The 21385-nt window shown below is 48.8% G+C and overlaps 1 protein-coding gene across 3 annotated transcripts in view; it reads right to left on the bottom strand.

Moving 5' to 3' along the window:
• Nucleotides 5514-21385, bottom strand: part of SFTPD (surfactant protein D) — a 44644-nt gene continuing 28772 nt past the window's right edge. The window contains exons 1-8 of one of the 3 annotated variants that reach the window (NM_003019.5): nt 16840-16879; nt 14235-14436; nt 10537-10653; nt 10162-10278; nt 9728-9844; nt 9172-9288; nt 8479-8562; nt 5514-6002 (exon numbers count right to left, since the gene is read on the bottom strand). In NM_003019.5, the coding sequence (NP_003010.4) occupies nt 5626-6002; nt 8479-8562; nt 9172-9288; nt 9728-9844; nt 10162-10278; nt 10537-10653; nt 14235-14433 (1128 nt within the window). In that variant the 5' untranslated portion in view covers nt 14434-14436; nt 16840-16879 and the 3' untranslated portion in view covers nt 5514-5625. Of the gene's footprint in view, nt 6003-8478; nt 8563-9171; nt 9289-9727; nt 9845-10161; nt 10279-10536; nt 10654-14234; nt 14437-16839; nt 16880-21385 lie in introns of those variants that run through there. The other 2 variants (XM_011540087.2, XM_011540088.3) reach the window with 2 other exon arrangements.

Raw genomic sequence — 21385 nt, forward strand, 5'->3', positions numbered from 1 at the left:
GTTGTGTACATTGCAAATACATAACCACTTTTCTTTTACATTGTGTTTTACTTTTCAGTAGAAAAGTTTTACGTATTTCTTATGTAGTCAGATATATCAATATTATCACTTTGGGTTCCCCTGTCTGATAACATTCTTAGATAGCTCTTTTTCCTTCCAAGACTACATAAATTGTTACTTATATTTTCTTCTAATTTTAATTTGTATATGTAATAAAATAATCTGATTTTACACTTCCTCTAAATGTTTATTTAACCCAGAATGATTCATTGGTAAGTCATTGTTTTCCTATGATTTTGGCATTCTCTCTTTATCATGCATATAGAACACATACGTGTATATATACATACTTGAGCCCATTTTTAGCCTTTCTATTCTTCTTCATTGTTCTATTTCTGTGTCATTAATATACAACTTCAATTATGCTAGTTTTATAAAACCCTCTAACATAGATGGGTCAAGTTCATCCTAGTTATCCTATTTTAAGCAATTTTCCTAACCCTTGAGAGTCATTCTTTCATAAGAGCTTTAGAATCACTTCATGAAGTCCTCACACCTTCCTCCACTCCCTCTTTTCTTTCCTGTGAACATTGTATAGGGGTACAGTAAGTGTCTAGGTTCTCTGCGGGATCCCCATCCCTCTCATCCTCTCTCTGTTCTCTCAGGCCGTCTCTCTAGCTGGGGGCCAAGCATCCCCTTCCTGCCCTGATCCTTCCCTCTGGTCACAGAATGCGTTTGCTTGGCCTGAAGTTGTCATCAGAACTTTCAGCCCTGGCCTGGCCCCAGGCACTTACGCTTCAAATGAAGTATTAAGGGAATTAAAAAATAAATATGTACAAGGGCTGGCAATGAGGCCACTCTGCAATTTCCTCAGATCAAAGGGCCTAGAGACATCTTAAAAACACTTTATTCAACCCTACAAACAGGACTTACATAAGGACCATTCTGCTCAGGCAGGGTGCTGCTAAGTCCCTCTCTGTGGCTCAAAGGTGTTTCAGCCAGGTAGTCTGAGATTGCCTACAGACTCTTAAGTAAATAGAGGGCAAACATGTTAATATTCAAATGTATCCAGGAAGGATGGGTGCTGCAGTAACAACCCCCAAATATCACTCAGAGTACAAGTCCATTGCCTAGATCCAGGCAGTTGCTTTCCATGCATCTGCTCAGGTTCCAGAATGTTTGATTGTACAACAACTTTATTATTATTATTATTATTATTATTATTATTATTGAGACAGGGTCTCACTCTGTCGCCTAGGCTGGAGTGCAGTGGCGCAATCTCTGCCCACTGCAACCTCCACCTCACGGGTTCAAGTGATTCTCCCTTCTCAGCTTCCCAAGTAGCTGGGATTACAGGCACGTGCCAGCACTCCCAACTAATTTTTGTATTTTTAGGAGAGACAGGGTTTTGCCCATGTTGGTCAGGCTGGTCTTGAACTCCTGACCTCAAAGTGATCCAGCCGCCTCGGCCTCCCAAAGTGCTGGGATTATAGACGTGAGCCACCGCACCTGGCCTTGTACAAGAACTTTATATCTACCAATCTGTCTATAATCACAGAAGACATGGCAGCAGACGAGAGGGCATTTTAGAAATGTATACCCACTCTTTTCTGCTTCTCCCCAGGAGTGACCCACATCACAGGTTCATGCCTGCCTTCAAAAGTCCTCTCAGTGAAAGATTGGCGAGAAACAGTAAAACCTACCATAAGATGCCAGGCCTGCTGTTAGCCATAGAGAGGTCTAATAGTCACAGGCAATTAGAGTGGACAGTAATGAAGACTGCTTTGATCTCTGAGTGGCTTGGTAATTGCACAAAGAGAGGTCTCTTCTCTATTCTCATGGTTAAAACTCTTATCATCCGTCCATTCATTCTAAATCCACTTGTTGAGCACCGCTATTGTCCATTGCCAGAACAATCCTGCAGCTTACTCATCTTGTTATGTTAGGGAAGTGCAGGATCACGAGGGCATGACTAGCCATGTCAATCTTTGTATCCAATGCCTGGATAAATATTTGACATACAGATTAAGACTGCATTTCTCTAATAGATAACTAGTTTCTTTGCTCTAGGTAGGTAACTTGAAAATGTCAAGCACATCATTAAACTTGAATTTTAAGGTGAACATCTGGAAAGGAAGAGTGGTTGAGAATGCCCTGAACTTACGCCACTCAAGTTTCAGTGATGTGTATCAAGGGGATTCAGAACATAGACAGGATCCTAGAAAAGCAAACGTCAGAGGGCTCCACATCAGCTGCTCATTATGGAATGTGGACTGGGTTGGTGACAGAAGGTTGAAAACCAGGATGAGACTTGAGAGTGTACTTTTTAACTGAACAGGGGTTTCTCTATGAAACTGCTGTGAAAGTCCCCGCTTCAGACATGGATGGGTCCCAGCCTGCTCTCATGGTGTCCATGGTGAGAGTCACAACATCACCTGAGAGTGCAAATCACTTGACACACAGGCTACTAAACAAGGGACCCTGACTGCTACAGTTAAGGTGGGGCAGACACTGAGATCTGTGTTGACCTTGGCCCATGTGTGTTAGTGCAGGGGAGACCTCTGTGCTCAGGAACTGGTTAGGACCTGAATTTCTGAAATAACTGCTTCAGTCCCCTATTCCAATCAGCCTGTGCCTACAGATCTCAAATGGCCCTCCCTGCTTGTTCTCTGTGCTGGAGAGCAAACCAGACCCCTGTGGCCCATGGCACTGATGGATCTGAAGCTTCTTCTTGGGGTTTGAAGTATCCACATTCCAGGCCTTCAACATCATAGGAGATTTTTTTCTCTCCACACACTTCAACTACGCTGACTTTTCCCTTAGCAAGAAGTAGGTTTGGCTTAAGTATTGGGGTAGGTAGTGGTCACTTTCAGGGGGTCTTCCCAGACCATCATGATCTTGCATCTATCCCAGTGGCCATATTGTACCACGGGACCCACTCCCCAAGTTTAGTTGATTGGACCAGAGGTGGGCATCTGAGACAGAAAGACTCATTTCCACAGGAGTTTCCAATTGATCCCATTGGAGAGTTTCTGATTTCTGTGCAGCCGTCTTTAGGACACATGATTCTTAATGCTTGGGTAGTCAAGAGACCAGGAAGCAGAGGAAGCTGGTGTGCAAAAGAGGGAAAGATGCAAAGATGCACAGGGAGAAGCAGAAGCCAGGGAGAGAGCATGCCATTACCTGAGTCCCCCTAGTCCTTTTTAAGCCCATTTGGAACCCTTTATTCAGAGAAAAAAACACTTCTCTTGGTTTATGCTACATCCAAGTGTTTTCTCTTACTTGTAATAAAAAAGCCATTCTGAGCTCCCTCGATGAATGTGTTTCGGTGTGGTCTCTGAGTAGTTTGCTCATTATTGTGTAACTGACTTATATTTCAGAAGCTGCCACAAATTTGGGTTTTTTTTTTTTCAGTAACTGGAGAATGATCTTAGCAGAGAACCTGGGCTGCATGCTGTCTTGAAGTGTGGCTTTTGTTTTATAGACATGTTGTCCTATATATGAAATGTAGGAGTGTCGGGAAGAGGGATGGGACTGGGGGGTCCCATCCAGAAAGAGAAGTCTCCCTGGTTTGTGTAAACTAAGGAGAGAGTGGCTGATTTTCTATCAGGAAAGAGGTTGTTTGCCCCCCCCCTTTTTTTTTTTTGAGATGGAGTCTCGCTCTTTCGCCCAGGCCAGAGTGCAGTGGCGCAATCTCAGCTCACTGCAAGCTCCGCCTCCCAGGTTCACACCATTCTCCTGCCTCAGCCTCCTGAGTAGCTGGGACTACAGGCGCCCACCACCGCGCCCAGCTAATTTTTTGTATTTTTAGTAGAGACGGGGTTTCACCGTGTTAACTAGGATGGTTTCTATCTCCTGACAGCATGATCCGCCTCCCAGGTTCACACCATTCTCCTGCCTCAGCCTCCCGAGTAGCTGGGACTACAGGCGTCCACCACCGCGCCCAGCTAATTTTTTGTATTTTTAGTAGAGACGGGGTTTCACCGTGTTTCACCTGACAGGGGTTTCACCTGACAGCATGATCCGCCCGCCTCGGCCTCCCAAAGTTCTGGGATTACAGGCATGAGCCACCACGCCCAGCCTTGTTTGCCCCTTTTATGGGGCCATGGTTCATCCAGGTGTCACTGACATCTTTTGAACACAGGTGTCATTTAAATCATTATGTGCAATAATATGTCAAATCAACTAAATATGCATGATCTTTGGCCTATATATTTACAGCCTAAATGTATGGGCTTTAGGGTCAAAATGACCTTGCTAATGACCCAGCTGTAACACTGACACCCCCTTTTGTCCCTGCACAGGTTCATCCCTCTCTGTGCCTTGGTTTTCATATTTGGAAAATGACGAGGAGGATTTAACTAGATTATCTCTAAGGTTGAATGGGGAAAGAACATTCCTGGAATCACCAGGCAAGAAGAGGATTGGAGGTAAATCGGAGCTTGGCCAGAGACCCTTTGTTCCAAAGTTCCCTAAGATTTCAGACAGCTTTAGGATTGTGCAGCTGGTACTCCTCCCATGAGTCAAGAGGCAGTCATGTTGGCAGTGATGGAGAGAGATCCTGGGCAGTGCAGGGGTGAGGAAGGGCCTACTGAGTGCAGGGCCATGTGGCCTGGCTGGGGAGGCAGACATTCTCTGCCAGGTCACCCTGCCATGCTGTGCAGCTTCCTGGGCTCAGACCTTGAAATAAGAGGCAGCAATGGAGGCTGGGAGCCTCCTTTTATCCCTGGGCTCCAGCCAGAACTGGCTAGAGGAATCCGGGGTTCAGGAAGAGGTGCTGAATAGGGATACATCTGCAGGGGAGCCACCAGCCTCCAGAAGGAATTTGAATGAGGGGACAGGATGAGCTCATCTCTGGAGTGAGTGTAAGAAGAGAAGACAGCTGAGAGCTGAGACTTTGGCACTGCACCATTAAATGGTCAAGGAGAGAAAGAGGGACAAGTTAAAAAGACTAATAAGGGGCCAGGGGCGGTGGTCTACACCTGTAATCCCAGCACTTTGGGAGGCCAAGGCAGGCAGATCACTTGAGCCCAGGAGTTCGAGACCAGCCTGAGCAACATGGCAAAACATCATCTCTACCAAAAATACAAAAAATTAGCCGGGCGTGATGTCTCATGCCTGTGGTCTCAGCTACTTGGGAGACAGAGGTTGCGGTGAGCCCAGATCGCACCACTGCACTCCGATATTGGTGACAGAGTGAGACCCAGTCTCAAACAAAAAAAAGAGACCAGGCAAGAGTGGTATCTGTGAAGCTGGGAGGAGGAAGTGCTTGAAAGAGGAGGGAGAGATCTGCAGGGTCAAATGCAGCTGATGGTTTGAGAAAAGGGCCTGAAAAGGAGTCTTTGGGTTTAGGGACAGGAAGGTCATTGGAGACCCACTTTTATCCCTTATAGGGAAAGTAGGCTGGCCCCTTCTTCCCCTGAAAGGAGTTTTAGTGTGAAGGAAGCCTCACATTTCACTCTGTGGTGTCCTGCAGCAGCTGTAACTTTTGGCCACATTCTGGAGAGAAGTCCTTCCCGGCACAGATGGTCACCTTTTTATTAGGATATTGGCAGCATGAGGGTCTAAGCCTTGACTTCTGGCCAAACTCCTGGGCCAAGCACTGCCCCACCCACCCCAGTTGGCTCAGAACTCGCAGACCACAAGACGCTTTTCTCCACAAGCCCTGTCATTCCACTTGCCATTGGTGAAGATCTCCACACAGTCCTCTGACCCGCCATCATCGTTGGGCTCCCCTGGGGCCCAGTTGGAATAGACCAGGGACTCTCCTGTGGGGTAGGTGAACTTGCCCTCTGTCTTGGAATCAGTCATGCTCAGGAAAGCAGCCTCGTTCTTAGCTACGACCAGCTGTTGCAAGGCGGCATTCTCAGCGGCAGAGCGTGGAGAGGCCAACTGTCCACCAGCCTGTGTGCACAGCAGCTGTGCCTCCGTAAATGGTTTTACAAAGCCTGCTGTCTTGAAAATCTTCTCCCCGACACTTTGGCCATTTGGGAAGAGCTCAACTAGGAGAAGAAGAAAGTCAGGTTGGGGTTGTGGCATCACCTGGCCAAAGCTCAGGGGCTGTGAGACCTCTGTGCTCCAACCTGAGCCTTTCAGACCTCCCAAACAGGCACCGCATCAGGATGCCAGAGAGAATGCAAGAGAGATTGTTCCAGAACAGCCCCCGTCCCATGACCTACCCTGTGAGGTGACACCATGATTCCCCACTTACAGATGAGAGTACTGGAGTTTAGAGAAGCTAAGAGGCTCAAAGTCACACAAGCAGCAAACGTGCAGTTAGGAATTCAACCTCACTCAGTCTGACACCAAAGCTCAGACATGCTCTTTCTATTTTGGCACATGCTATATACTAGAATTGATTTCTCAATTACTAGGTAGAAGTGAACAATTTTTCCCAAGTTGATCACAGTGTAGACCAGGCCAGTTTCTGAGAGTACAGAAAACACCTGCAGTTAGCCCACTGTCACCCTGTACAACAGTAGGGGATGTGGGGTTGTCGGAGAGGGTCTGTGCTGTGTGATGGGGTGATGAAAGGGGAGAGACAGGAAGAGGAGAGGACATCTGAAAGCTGTCAGATGCTAATCTCTGCTCTGGGTCTGGCCTCATGTCGGCCTCTTAGTATGCACATGGATGATGTCCTAGCCAGTCAGCCTGCCTGGGAGGTGCTGAGGGAGTGGAGGAGAGCATCTGAAGGGCATGTGTGAGTGAGGCGCAGGGGAGTGGTGTTAGTGCTGGAGACAGCCCTGGGTGGGAACTGGAAGACCAGGCATTCAGATCCACATTGCGTGGGCAAGGGAAAGTCACTTCCCTTTTCAGGGTTTCCATTTCCTCATCTCTAAAATGAGGGCTCACTTCACAAAAGCTGTTGCGTGGGCAAGGGAAAGTCACTTCCCTTTTCAGGGTTTCCATTTCCTCATCTCTAAAATGAGGGCTCACTTCACAAAAGCATTGCCTGTGTGACATGTCAAGTATCTCTTTTTAGTCTGTCTTTGTGGCTCTTGGGCCCATGCATGGAAATCTTCCGCAAAGGACACTGGAAGCTCCAGAGAAGGCTGTGCCCCTGGCTTTGTTGGGCTGCTCAGAATGCAGGCTGCACCCTGACTCATCGTCCTTAAGATTCTCCATGGGCTCAGGGTGGCACCCAGAGCAGCCCTGAACAAAGTCAGCATAAGAGTTCATGTACCATTACTAAGTTTATGTGCCATGCACATATGTGGGCATGCCTTTGAATATATGTGCATCTACCCAAAGGTACGTGGGAGTATGTAAGGTTCATCTGGATGTGTGTGCATATTTGTGTGTGCTATATAGACAACATATGAGCTCATGTATGTAGATGGAGGTGGAGTGAGTGATGGTGTTTAAGTGCACACACATGCAGTGGGTGCATATGGACATGTTCCTCTGTGTGTTTCTGTCACTGTGCCTCTGAGTGAATTAGAGCATATGCAGAAAGAGATATATACCAAATGCTTGAAACTCTCATTTCAGAGCTTGGGTACTTAGAAGCCAAACCTGTGTTGCACCCAGTCAGCCCTTTTATGCTCTACTACTTCAGAAAACTTTAATCTTTTATTTTTTGGCTCAATGAGATGCGCCTGAACTCAAAGCTGATATCAGGAAAGGCGGAGGAGAGTAGGGGCAGTTGGGCACTGATGTGGAGATTCAAAAAGGCACCAGGCCCTCAGCTGTGTGTCCCTGGAGGCCTCTGACTCTTCAGGATTCCAGGGTTAGGGCAAAGTCTGCTTTAAAATACCTCCAGAGCTGCAGGTAGAGCCCAGCAGTGGCTGGAGCCCAGAAGCAGCCTGCCCCCTATTTGAACCAAGAGCACGTCTAAGGTGAGATATCTGATGGCCACATACCAAGGTCAGGCCCCCACCTGCCTTGTACCCCCAGAGCAGAACCCCAGTCCTAGTTCCCAGAACAGTATCTGGTTTCTGGGCTGCCTTGGGATGTGCAGCAGCATCACTGGGGACTCCCATACCTGGCCCCTCTGAGCTAAGAAATGCAGCCCGTGTTGGGTAGCCCCTTATCTATCAGAGGGACCAGCACAAAGTAGGCAGGAGAGAGGCTCTACTGAATTGCACTGGACTCAGGACAACAATTTATCTCAGGGCACAGGTGGCATTGAGGTTGGTGGGTAGTTCAGGAGCCTGATGGCCTTAACTATGCTACTGCCAGCCTGGTGAGCTGGTGATAGGGGCCACATCCTCCTCCTTTGCCCCCTTGGATCTACTTTGAGCTCCAGGAGCAGGTGGCTGCCCTCTTCTAGCCCCATCCCAGCCTGAGCCCTACCCCCTGCCACAGTCCCAGGTCCAGCCCTACACAGGTCCCAGCTCATTCCCATCCTAGACCCAGGGCAGGCTCTGCCTCAGGTCCAGCCAAAGGTCTAGCCCCAGCCAAAGGCCAAACCAAGGTCAAGATCTAGTGTGGGGCCCAATGCCAGTGCTGGGTCCAGGTTCAGATCCAGGAACTCACCTTTCTTATACTGAGAGAAAGCAGCCTGGAGGTGCTGTACTTGTCCCTGTAAGGCCTCAACCTGCTGCCTCAGAGAAGCAACATCTGGAGGGGAGAAAATGGCCAAGTAAAGACTTGTCCAGAGAGCGAAGGAAGAGCTCAGAGTCTGGGCCCCAAAGGAAGGGTGTCTAGTTTCGGGCACATATTGTGGGGCTGACCCACAGCAAGCCCACATCTACTGACACAGCTGGCCTCTGCTGTGTAAGGATGTCTTATGGTTCTGCTATGAACAAATTGCTGCCTGTACTTCACTGACACTGAACCAGATGACATTGTGACTTTAAAGTCTTGGAATATAATGGCATCTCCATTGGGTGGGTGGGGGGGTTGCTGGGCAGGAATACACACTCATGTGTTTCCTATCCACTGGGTTTTTAATGCCCAAAACTGTCCTATGAATTGGGAAGGCAGTTGTAGTTTTCCCGATAGTCAGATGGAGAAGCTGCCCAGGTTGCTTTCCCATGAGTACTAAGTGGCTAAGACCAGAGCCCCATGCTCCTGCCTTCCAGCCTGTCCGCCTTTCCTGAGTTCCACCCACCAGCTGCCATTAATGGGGCACACATCCCAGAGCCCCTCCTCTGGGATGAGGAGGGCTTCCTCTCTGCCCACCCATGCCCCAGCGGGGCTTCCCTGGGCCAGGAGCTGCTACCTTACCTGGAAGCCCACTTTCTCCCTTTGCTCCTTTGTCTCCAGGAATGCCTTTGTCCCCCTTCAATCCCGGGGGTCCCCTGGCACCTGGACTTCCCTGGGGACCCATGGCTCCAGCAGACCCTGGGGTAAAAGAAGAACTGGGTGAGCTATGTACTCATTTTATTTTTTTTGTTTTTAGCATTTTTACCTTCCCATACATGGACTAACTATCCTTATTGCCCAGAAATAGACAGATGGTCCCCAGTACCCAGCCATGCAGCTCCCTGTACACTGACTGTCCCTGTCACCCAGCAATCAACCCCGCTGTGGAAAACTGCCCCGCCACCCAACAACTAACCTTCCCTGTATACAGACTTCTCCATTGCTTGCGCCTCACTCTCCCTAGATAGGAACAGTCCCCAGAGCCCCCTCATGCACCCTTCTTGGATACAGATTCTCTCCATGTTCCAGCGATACCACCTCTGCCTTTGTGGGTGGTGGAGGGGGTGTAGGCATTGACAGCTCCAAGCAGGCACAGGAGAACTGGACCCAGCCCAGCCCAGCTCTTTCCACTGCTCACCTGCTGCCCCTGTGTTTCCAGGGACTCCACGCTCACCAGGGACACCTCGCTCTCCCTTAGGGCCTGCGAGGCCTCTTGCCCCTGCCGAGCCCTGCATGCCTGGGGCACCTACTTCTCCTGAAGAAGGAACACACAGGAACAAACACAGCTAAGAGCGCGTTCAGCAGGTGTGGTTTTGTTAGCAATGGAGCTTTTTGCCCGCAACTTTAGGGTCAGAGAGAGAAGTGGGGAGACTCTCCTTGCTTTCTGGGGCTCCTCTGTGGAGGGTGAGAGGAAAATATTGCAGTTGTGGGGATTGGGAGGGTGCATGGCAAGCCTTTGCAGCATCAAGGGTCTGGGCTCTCCCTGGCACTCTGAGCACGCCTCAGGTCATATCATGGACCCTTGTCCTTCCTCCTTTCCCTTCTCAGACTGGCCACAGACCAGCCACCTACCTTTGGGCCCAGCTTCTCCTTTTGGGCCTGGCTTGCCCTGAGGTCCTATGTTCCCCTGCTTCCCCAGGGGACCTTCTCTTCCAGCTGGACCAGGCACACCGGGAGGTCCTGGAGGTCCTGAGCAAAAGCACCAGCCCGGTCAGTAACAATGAATCCTCTTGGCAGGAGGAGTGTGTAGTAAGGTGAGGGTAATAACAGAGGTAAGGGAGGCAGCATTGTTGTCCTCCCAACAGCAGGTCCCATCTGTCCTGAAATGACCCAGTGCCACCTTCAGACAACCTTCTTCCTGGGATGGGCTCTGTGCGTGCCCACTGGCATATCCTTGCAGCTGCACCACCACCTGGAAACACCTGAAGTCGACACCCAGTTGCTCACCACTTGGCCCAGTGTCTCCCTTTGGTCCAGGTTCTCCAACAGAGCCATTGTCCCCTTTGGGCCCAACTGGGCCAGCTTGTCCAGGCATCCCTGCTTGCCCTGCAGCTCCTGGCAAACCTGTAGCAGCAGAAGAAATGGACAAAGACCTGGCCCTAGACCCAGAAAGGGCCAGCCTCCTGCAGGATCAGCCCCTAGCATTCCTTTAGGATTCTGCAGAGCATGAGACTTCCACCGTCACACACCCAGGCCCAGTGGTGATCCAGGAAATGGGTATCAACATCCCCATTTTATAGATGAGGAAGAAGCCTTCCAGAGTTGGAGGCGGATTAAAGCCAAGACCTGCCTGACCTTCTATGCGGTGCTCCTTCCCCTACCCCAAGGCCACTGTATTGATGGCAGGCAATTTGTCAGCTCTTACCTGTGATCATGGACTTCTTGCATTCCATATATATATATTAGGGAAGCCAACCAGAAATGGCACCAGACAGGTGGTGCTAACTTGTTCATTCAGTTATTGGTCGATTTGCTCATTTATTTGTTCACTAAGAGCCATCTATGCAGCATCTACTTTATACCTAGCACTAGGCAAGATGCAAATCTGAGCTTAGCCTCAGGTCCTGCTCAGCAGGGGGTTCATAATACACTGTGAGACAAGGGAGAGGAAGGACAATGCATGAAGTGTCCCTCATCTCATCTGAGCGTCCCCACCCCAGCACTCACACACTCAGAGCTTTCTTCTTCAAAGAGAAAGTGGGATTTTAAGAGCAAGGAGAATCGAGGGAGATTTGCAGAGAGGAGGTGACATTTCAGGCTTGGAAGCCATGCTCCCGTGGCAGAGGAGGCCAGGCCTCCATGGGGGGTGAGCATGTGGTTGTGGGTAAATTTGCTGGATGGGTGGAAGAATCTGTGCTGGCGTATCCCAGCAGCACCACCACCTGGAAACATCTGAATTCCATGCCCAGTGGAATTCCGTGCCCTGGGTCCAGCCACTGGTTACAGTCCTTATTAGGGATGAAATGGAAGCACAGAGGGTTATAGGATGGGCCCCACCTCTGACACCCAACAGCACATTTTCCTCAAGGCAGGATGCCCTGACCCCATGTGGAGCCTTGCTTGGGCTTCACCCAGGCCAAGTCAGCAGCAGGAAGATGGACCAAGAGAAAAATGTCACTCTCCAGAAGAGAGTGTTAGAGCCCACTTGTTCTTGGTACACAAACTATGGAGGCCATGAGAGCACCAGGGTGGAGGAGGGGCACCTCCCCAAATGCTGCACCCATGCCTTTCAAAACACTCACTGTGTATCGTAGTGTACCCAGAGACCTAGACCTGCACCCGAGTGCCACCTGAAGTGGAGCTTTATGGCCCAGCCTTTTGCCTGTTTTGACTCCTAAAATTCCTCCACCCCTTCCAGCTTCCATTCACTCACTCCATAAATATCTCTGGAGCCTCTAATACATGCCAGGCACTGTCCTAAATACTGGGGATAAACAGCCCTTCTCTGGGGAGCTTCAACTCTATCTCATAGAAACAGATAATAAAACATTAAAAATGTACAACATATGATATGTTAGATATAATGCCACAGGGAAAAGTAAAGCATAGGGTGTGTTGGGGGTAGGGTCTGTTTTTGGTAGGGTGGTCGGGGAGTGCCTCACTGAGAAGGTGATCCGGGAGTAAAGTCCTGAAGGAGGTGAAGTATGAGCTGCAGGGACAGCTATGAGAAGAGCAAATGGCAAGCCCCTAAAGAGGGAGGAGGCTGAGCGTGACCGGGGGCCAGAAAGAAGCTATGTGGTTGGAGCTGAGTAGGGGTGGCAGCACCAAATTCAGAGGAGCAGCAGGGGTACAGGGGTACAGGGTGGTCCTGCCGGGACTCATGGGCTGCTGTAAGGTGTGTGATTTGTCCAAGGGAGACGAGCATCCCTGGTGGGACTCCCCCACGGAATATTGCTGAGCAGGAATGCTGAAGGTGCTGAGGAATAAGGAATTGTTCCCCACAAAGGCAGGATCTGGGTCATATTTACCCTCCATGATACGTCGGGGATGTCACCAGAGTGACTCAAGCTTCACCCTCCACCCCTGCTCAAAGATCTCTTCTTTCAAGCCCCAATTTTCCTCGTAGCAGATTCTGGGAACCACATGCTTCCAACTCTGCAGGGGTGGTTGTCACAAGCACAGACTTTGGCCCACAGAGACCTATTCTGGGTAGATTCTGAGGATGCTGAGGATTCTGAGGGAACCCAGCCCTCAGACCTGTAACAGTGGAGTGACTGGAGAGACTGCGATTGAGAAGCCAGAGTGGAGCCTCATCCTGTAGCCCCACCGTGTTCTGTCCTGTGTCCAAGTACTGACCCAAAGCCAGGCCTGGAATGTGCATGGGTTGAGGCACATATGTGGGGAAGGGAGGCCTTGACCATGCTTCAGGCAGCAAGCTCCCAGGGCCATTGTGGGAAAGATCCCTGAGATTCAAATCCGGGGCCCCACTGGAGGCCAGACTGAGTTGGGAATCTCTGAGAAAGAGCTGCCAAGATGAACCCCACCCCCATTCTGGGATCCCCCCTGGACAGCCCTCCCCAAGCCCCATCCCATTCACGTTGGGAGCCACTTTCTGTCTGTAAGGGATAGGCAGATGCTTACTTGCCCCTTACCCCACAAAGCCTGGGGATATTGCTTCGTCTTTCCAGAAAGTTAAAGACTGTATCTGATCCCTTTGAAGCCCTGCCCAATGTCATAGAGGTCCCTCAGTTCATGCTGCTGGCTGATGGAATTCTCCTTTCTTGCCAGTAAGACCTAGATCTTTCCCTACAAGCGGGGAGCAGTATTTCCAGGGACAATTCCCTTACTCATCAGTACCTCTGCTAAGCTCAAGATAATTCACCTATTAGGTACAGCAGAAAATGCAACTTTATCCCAAAGACTCAAGAAAAAATAAAGCCTTTGGCTCAATGATTCATCACTGGGTGGTAGATATCATTCCCATTACCAGATAAAAAAAACAGACTCAGTGACACTGAGGGGCTCTCCCAGTGTGGAGATGGAGCCCAGGCCAGTCTGATGCAGAGCCTTCGTCCTTTCCACCTCCAGAATGGTTGCTACTTAGCCTCTCTGCATCATCATTTTCTTACCTGTCGAAGGAGATTAATATGTCCCCTGTAAGACTCTTGGGAGGATTAAATGAACTACTCCAGTGAATGCCCAAGCACAAGGGTGGACAAAGAAATGTGAGTGCCTTTTCTCCCCGTGTAATGTATTAGAGCAAATCCTCTTGATTAGGCTTGAGAATGGAGCCATGGAGCCCCATTTTTTTCCCACCCTTCATGCAGTAGTGTTTAATTAAATATTTAAAATATTTAATGCCCTGCACAGGCATCATTTAATTGGAATGAACAACTGCTAACTGCTGGCACAGGGCTCTAGAAGGCCCCAGATATCAGTAATTTACCACTGTTTGCTTGCTCTTGGGATAGGAAGGATCCGGGGATCCTAGAGGAGGAGCTAGGGCAGTTGGGTGCTGGAGGAGGCACATGGGGGCTCAGCACAGCCACTTGTTTGCCAGCTGGTGGAGCAGTGTGGAACTCGCCTTCTTGGGAGGAAGAAACACGTCTCCAGACTTCCATAACAAAGTACCCAGAGTTGCTGGGCTAGTTACAGTTCCAATGACCATTCCTCCCCAGCAGGATAAGCCCAGGGCCCCACCCTACCTGGGTCCCCCTTCTCGCCCCGAGGGCCCTCTCTCCCATCCCGTCCATCGCGACCAGGCAGGCCACTCTCCACTGAGCTACACATGACCAGGGTGCAAGCACTGGGCATTGTTCTGTGGGAGTAGGTCTTCATTTCTGCTTCCAGGTAGCCCAGGGGCTGTGTGAGCAGGACCAGTGCAGAGAGGAGGAAGAGCAGCATGGCCTGGAGAGGTGAACAGAAAGAGAAAAGACATGCTTATGCTTCATGGACATGGTTTAGGGCTTGGCTCAGCTTCTAGAGGTGACAAGAAGCCCCCATTCCCTCCTTCTGTCCTCTGCTATGGGGCCTAGAGCAGCAGGAATCCAAAAGCAGTTTAAGGACAAGGAGGGCACAAGGTCTGGATGGAGAGCATGAGTTACCCAGCTGGAACTCTGACATAGGTTGACAGCAGCATCCCCCATTCCCAGGTGCTCATGTCTTCCCTTCTTGTGCCTTCCCTTGGGCACTAAGTTTGGCACAGTGGCTAGGATGTAGCATTCCTCACTGGGGCCATCTGTCACATCAAGAAGGGTTCATTGAGTGCCTCTGGGCAGGACACCCCCCGCCCACTCCCTAGACCATCTCCCTGTCTGTACCACTGAGGCAACTGGCTTAGCTCAGACAAGGCAAGCCTGTTTCTTCTCTCTTGCTGCCTTGCATGGACTAGCACTGGTGCTGATAGTGCTGGTCTGAAAATGCAGCCAGAGTCCTGAGTGCTTAGTAATGTCCTTCCTGAGCGCAGGCTGGGAGTGTGGTGCACATTTGCCTGGCAATTTGCCATTCCTCGAGCAGGTGCTGTCTCTAGAGAAAAGTCCCAGAGGGAACCCAGGTGAAAGTTTTCAGAGACACTAAACTAGCAGTAGGAGAAATCCTGAGACACCTAGAGTTCTTCTAAGACCTGAGAGGGTTTGGAAAAGAAGTATGTGGAGTCTGGGCACGGTCGCTCATGCCTGTAACCCCAGCACTTTGGGAGGCCGAGGCGGGCAGATCACTTGAAGTCAGGAGTTCGAGACCAGCCTGGCCAACATGGCAAAACCCCATCTCTACTAAAAGTATAAAAAATTAGCCAGATGTGGTGGTGCGTGCTGTAATCCCAGCTACTCGGGAGGCTGAGGCAGGAGAATCTCTTGAACCCGGGAGGTGGAGGGTGCAGTGAGCCGAGATCGTGCCACTGCACTCCAGCCTGGGCAAGAGAGTGAGACTCCATCTCAGAAAAAAAAAGAAGTCTTATATGGAAAGAGGACATGCCAGGTAGGCTCAGTCAGGCAGAAAGCTAGTGTTGTGGGTAAGCAAGAGCAACTACCCAACAGGGCACCCATTTACTATCTAAGATGGTCAGGAACTGAGACCAGGATAAGAGCAGGACCTGGGACATTAACTGTTTTGGGTATCTTTTCTCTCAATGAGAAACCGTAAAGTTATGAGAGTGAAAAGAGCTGATCAGATTCGCAGAGGCTAGGAACAAAGCCAGAGGGACTTGTGCAAAGAAAGGGGTCACCAGGCCAACTGGGGTGGTGGCAAGTGGGGGGCTTCCTGCCCAGAGGAGTGCCTTCTTCTTTGACTGCTGGTGATTCTGGGCTGTGGATGACCCCTATTTCTCACTAGCCTCTTTCAATTTTGAAATCACCACTTCCTTGGGTATCCTGGTAGTCTCTAGAAACACCTGGGTGAGCTCACTGCCAGCAGCGGCTACCTTGTTACACCTGTTCTGGCAGAGGCTCAATCATGAGCAGCAAGGGCCAGACCCAGGCCAGAGCAAGGGCATTGTTCTGTGCCCCGCAGCTCCCTCACCCCTCAGGCCCTGTGTCTGATTCTGGGGAAGAATGAAAGGCAATAGGCATTCTGTCTACAGGCTCAAGATGGCACAGAAGGCACCAGCAGCCACTGTGGCTTGAAGGACACTTGGAGAGGGCAGACCCGGGTTTTCAGGCCCAGGATTCAGATGAGGCATCTTAGCTGGGGCAGCAGATGGAGTGGGCAGAGTTGTGGTCCCCCTCAACCCCTGCAGTGCCCAGTTTATGCTAAGCTTTCAGAGTACAATTTCATTGAAAAGGCCATCTCCTCTGAACATGGATTGGAAAATCAGAGACCTACTCCAGTAAGTATATTTTTTAAAGTAAAGACCTGAAGCTATGAGAAAAACAGGCTTGCCCTGCTTTTCCACAGGCTGTTGGCACCAGGATGGGTTTAGAACCCCAGCCTGTGAGTGCCTGGGTTTGTCTCTCTTCCACTGTCCTTTCTGAAGAAATCAGTGCAGAAAAGAGCCTAGAGATAAATTAGCATTGCATTTTTCCACCTGAAGCTTCCACACTGTGGCATCCCAGGTCTAGATAGTGTCACACCCACTCTTCCACCCTGTGCACCCCCAGCTCAGAAAGCAAATCCTCCCCTGGGCTGAGGCCACTGAATAAGGGGCAGAAGAGCACCATAAGACCTCCTGTGCTCCCCACCTCCTGCGCCCATGCCTCCTAGACCAGAACAGCTACACAGACCCTCCACACCAATAGGTTGAATTGCCCAGGTCGGCAGAGGGATATTTATAGGATGTGGAGAAAATAAAAAGAAGGCAAGAACAGAGACACTTACAGGTTTCTTTTTGTTAGGCCCCAGGAGCTCCAAGCAAACTAGCCTTTGCTTGGCAGGCACTCACTATTTATGCCTGCCCTGTACCCTGAGCTGCCCAGCCCCAAAAACTCCCTTCAAGAAGTGGGGCAATTTTCTTCTTTATTGACTCACTCACTCTTATCCCCACCTGCGTTCTGGAAACCTGCCACTGATATTCACAATACTATGCACATCCATCACTATAGTTTGCAGAACACTATCAGGCCTTGAACTCATCTGCACCTTTCTCACTGCAGCTCTGTGAATTAAGTGGCATCATCAGTGTCTGTATTTTATAGATGTCTAGAAATCAGGAGTCCAGAGACCAGCAGGTTGCACAATGACCTACAGCGATTGCAAAAGGAACTCACAACTGCAGATCTTAAGAGCCAAGACCTGCTGTGTCCACTTCTCCTCTTCCTTTGTCTCAACAGCACTGCCCAGATATTGGGAAAGAGCTGAGAGCTGCTTGGAATACCTGGGCAGGGGTGGGGCAGGTAGAGTGGCTGCAGAGGCAGCAGCATGTGGGGGCAGCAGCTAGGGAGCTGCCACCTGGAAAGAGTTGCTCTTTTGCATGCTGCTCTAGGCCTCAGAGAGCCCCTGCCTTGCTTGTCTTTTGTGGGATGGATTTCCCTTAGCAGACCTCTGCCTTGCCTTGTTCAGGCTTGTTCTCCCTGCCATCTTAGCTGGTGTTTGTCTTGTGCACTGTTCTTGTAACTAGTTAGGACCCCTGAGCTGATGCTACTTTTATCCAATCTTTTAGTCTGTATGTATTTTTTTTTTTTTTGAGACAGTCTCACTCTGTCACCCAGGCTAGAGTGCCATAATGCATTTATAGCTCACTGCAGCCTCAAACTCCTGGGCTCAAGTGATTGTCCTGCCTCAGCCTCTTTACAGGTGAGCATGATCACACCTGGCTAATTTCTCTTTTTAATTTTTTACAGAGATGGGGTCTCACTCTGTTGCCCACGCTGGTCTCAAACTCCTGGTCTCAAGCAATTCTCCTGCCTCAGCCTACCGAAGTTCTGAGATTACAAGTGTAAGCCATCATACCCAGCACCAATCTGTATCTTTTAAGTGGAACATTTACTCCATTTATTATCAAGGTTAATATTGATATGTGATGTTTTGTTCCTGTCATGATAATTGTTACCCAGTTGCTTTTTAGTCTCAATTATGTAATTGCTTTATATAATCTGTGAGTTTTTCACTTTAATGTGCTTTTATGATGAGGAGTATTGTCCATTCATTTCCATGTTTAGAACTTTAAGCATTTCTTGTAGTGCTGGTCTTGTGGTGACAAATTCCCTTTGCATTTGTTGTATGGGAAAAACTTTATTTCTCCTTCATTTATGCAGCTTAGTTTAGCAGGATACAAAATTCTTGGCTGGCAGGATTTTTGTTTAAGTAGATTAAACATAAGACCCCAATCTCTTCTGGCTTGTAAGGTTTCTGCTAAGAAGTCCATTGTTAGTCTGTTGGGTTTTCCTGTATAGATTAGACATTTCTCTCTTGCTGCTTTTAGGATGTTTTCCTTCACATTGACTTTGGATAGTCTGATGACGATATGCCTTTATGAGGTTTCTCTTGTAAAGCATCTTCCAGGTGTTCTCTGAGCATCTCCTATCTGGATGTCTAATTCTCTAGCAAGACCAGGGAAGTTTTCCTGAATTATTCCCTCAAATAGGTTTTCCAAGCTTTTAATTTTTTTTCTTCTCCCTCAGGAATGTCTATATATTGTATATTTGGTAACTTTATGTAATTCTATATTTTTCAAAGTCTTTGTTCATTTTTAAAAATTTATTTTTTCTGTATTTCTGTCTGACTAGGTTAATTCAAATGACTGGCCTTCAGGCTCTGAAATTATTTCTTCTGCTTGGTCTAGTCTTTTGCTAAAAGTTTCAACTATATTTTATAGTTCCTTCAATAAATTTTTATTTCTAGAAGTTCTATTTGGTTTTTGTTTTTTAATCTCTATCTCTTTTGTAAATTTTTCATTAATATCCTGAATTATTTTTCTGATTTCCTTATGTTAGTTTTCAACTTTCTCTTGTATCTCATTGAGCTTCCTTACAACTCATATCTTAAATTCTTTATTTGTTATTTCAAAATTTTTATATTGGTTAGGATCCATTGCTAGGGAGCTGGTGTGATCCTTTGGGCATGTCAAAATACTGGTTTTTCGTACTTCCAGAGTGCTTATGCTGATTTCTTCTCATCTAGAGAACCCGTTACTTCTTACTTTTGAACTTACTCTCATTTGAATGGGATTTTTTCCCCCTTTGAAGGTGTGACTGTATGTTGTGTGTGATCATTTGGCTTCAATTTTGGGTGCCTTCCGTGGGTCACAGCTCTGTATGAGTTCCTTGGTCATAGATAGCTTTTGTGTGGTGGCTTTATTATGCTGTATAGATAGCTTTTGTGTGGTGGCTTTATTATGCTGATTGTAGTAGCAATGTATTGGGCATATGAGCAGGAATACTACCTTCTGAGGGGCTGGGAATGTGGAAGTCTCTGAAAGTTTATCTCATTCCCCAGCACTATACCCTCTGTCAGCCTGTTTTTTATTTGGTTGTGCAATTCAATCTGCATCCCAATAAAAGCTGGCTGTGGCATAAGCTGATGGGTACTTGGTCTTTGTTTTCTGGGAGGGGATCTCTGTTGTCACAGGCAGTTGGCTGGTCTGTGGATGGCCTGATTCCCTGAAGGGAACACAAAGCTTTGGAGGGGGACACAAAACTGAGGGGCACTAAACGACCAAGCTCACCCTGGGAAACCCCAATTATGAGCAGAAGCAACTGCCTTGATGGGAGTGGAAATGGGAGCTCATGGTGAAAGGCACTGATGTCTCCACCAGAGTGGGAAGGAGTATACCAGCTCCACATCCTGGGAAGGCAGGAAGGCAATCCACTTTCCTAAAACACCCTTGTCCCGGAGCTTGTGACCTTCAGTTCAGATAGACATTGTCCTTCATCTCCAGGCTGCAGTGTGATGGAGGTCTGCAGAAAACACCCGTCCTGTGGCTACCACCAAAATGGCCTTGGGATAGAACCTCTTCCCTCAGCAGCTCTGATATTCATCTGCATTCTGCTATGGGAATGCTGCTGCTCCATATGGGGAGGAGGATAAACTCTGCCCTTCGTGCAAGGCTTGGCCAGCAGGCACCCCATCAATGGGAGTGCAGCTGCCCCCAGGAGCCCTCAAAAGCCATCCCCAGGTGCACTTGTGCCAGCTCCCAGTAGGGACAGCCAACGGTCTATCTGGAGCATTGAGTGAGGGGGTAGGAGAAGACTCCCTTTCCATGTTTATTCCCAGGCACCAGTGTCACCTGCCTACTGGTGCAGAACCACACTCCTCCCCTTCAGACCCCAGAACCATGCCTGTGTCTCTGCTGGGAGGGGCACAGCCAGCCTCTTCTCACACGTGGGGAGCTCTTAGGCAGAGGAGAGCAAATGAACTGGTTTCTTTTATCCAAAGGAGTACGTTGGCACAGACACTCTCCCTTCTCCTAAGAGCTAGACTTCTAGGAATTCCATAGCTCCCCAGGGTCCCACCCGTCCCCTGTGGTTGCTGCAGTCTAAGTGGGTTCTGGGGAATGTTCATGGAGGATCTAGTGATGCAGAAACACAAGGGCTGGGATTCCTTGGGAAGAACAGACCCACAATGGGTGCATAACCAGTATGACACCTGCCACTTCAACTCAGGTTTTGGGGGAGAGCGAGTGTGCCTGCATGAGCTGGCCACCCAATGCTCTGCCCTAAAGAAGTTCCCAAATTGCCACTGACAGCAATGCCTGGGCTCACAGGTGCAGAGGGTTTCTCCAACAAGTTCAGCAGTCCATAGTCTGCCACAGGAGTGAGGGGAGCAACTTCCCCTCCTACCCTCTCCATGGGACTCTATGTTCCTTGGAAGTCAATCTCTGCAAAACTCTTGCTGTCTTCTTTTTCAGCACCACAGCTTTTTCCTGTGGGTTCCCCAATAGGTCATGTCACTCATTCCTCAGTATTCCACTCAGACCATGATTATTCAACTGCAATTTTGGTTCTTTGTTCTGAGGAGAACTGGTGTCCAATGTCTCTAGACAGCCATCTTGGGGAAAGGAAAACTCTACTTGTCTTTATAATTACTTTTACCAGTGAAACTTATACTTTTGTGTGCATTTGTGTTTCTGTTTAACCTCTTTTTATTTCAACCTCGAGAACTTCCTTTAGCACTTCTTGCAAGGTGGACCTAGTGGTGACAAACTCCCTCAGTATATGTTTGTCTGGGATAGTTTTTATCTCTCCTTCACTAATAAAAGACACATTGCTGGGTACAGAATTCCTGATTGACAGGTGGGTTTTTTTTTTTTTTCTTTCAGTACTTTGAATATATCATTTCATTCTCTCCTGGTCTGCAGGGTTTCCACTGAGAAATCTCGTGATAGTCTTTTGGAGGTTCTCTTTTATGTGACAAGTCAGTTTTCTCCTGCTGCTTTCAATTTTTTTTCTTTGTATTTGACTTTGGACAAACTAATTATAATGTGTTC

The sequence above is a fragment of the Homo sapiens genome, chromosome 10 (genome assembly GCF_000001405.40).
Source record: "Homo sapiens chromosome 10, GRCh38.p14 Primary Assembly".
Classification (NCBI taxonomy): domain Eukaryota; kingdom Metazoa; phylum Chordata; class Mammalia; order Primates; family Hominidae; genus Homo; species Homo sapiens.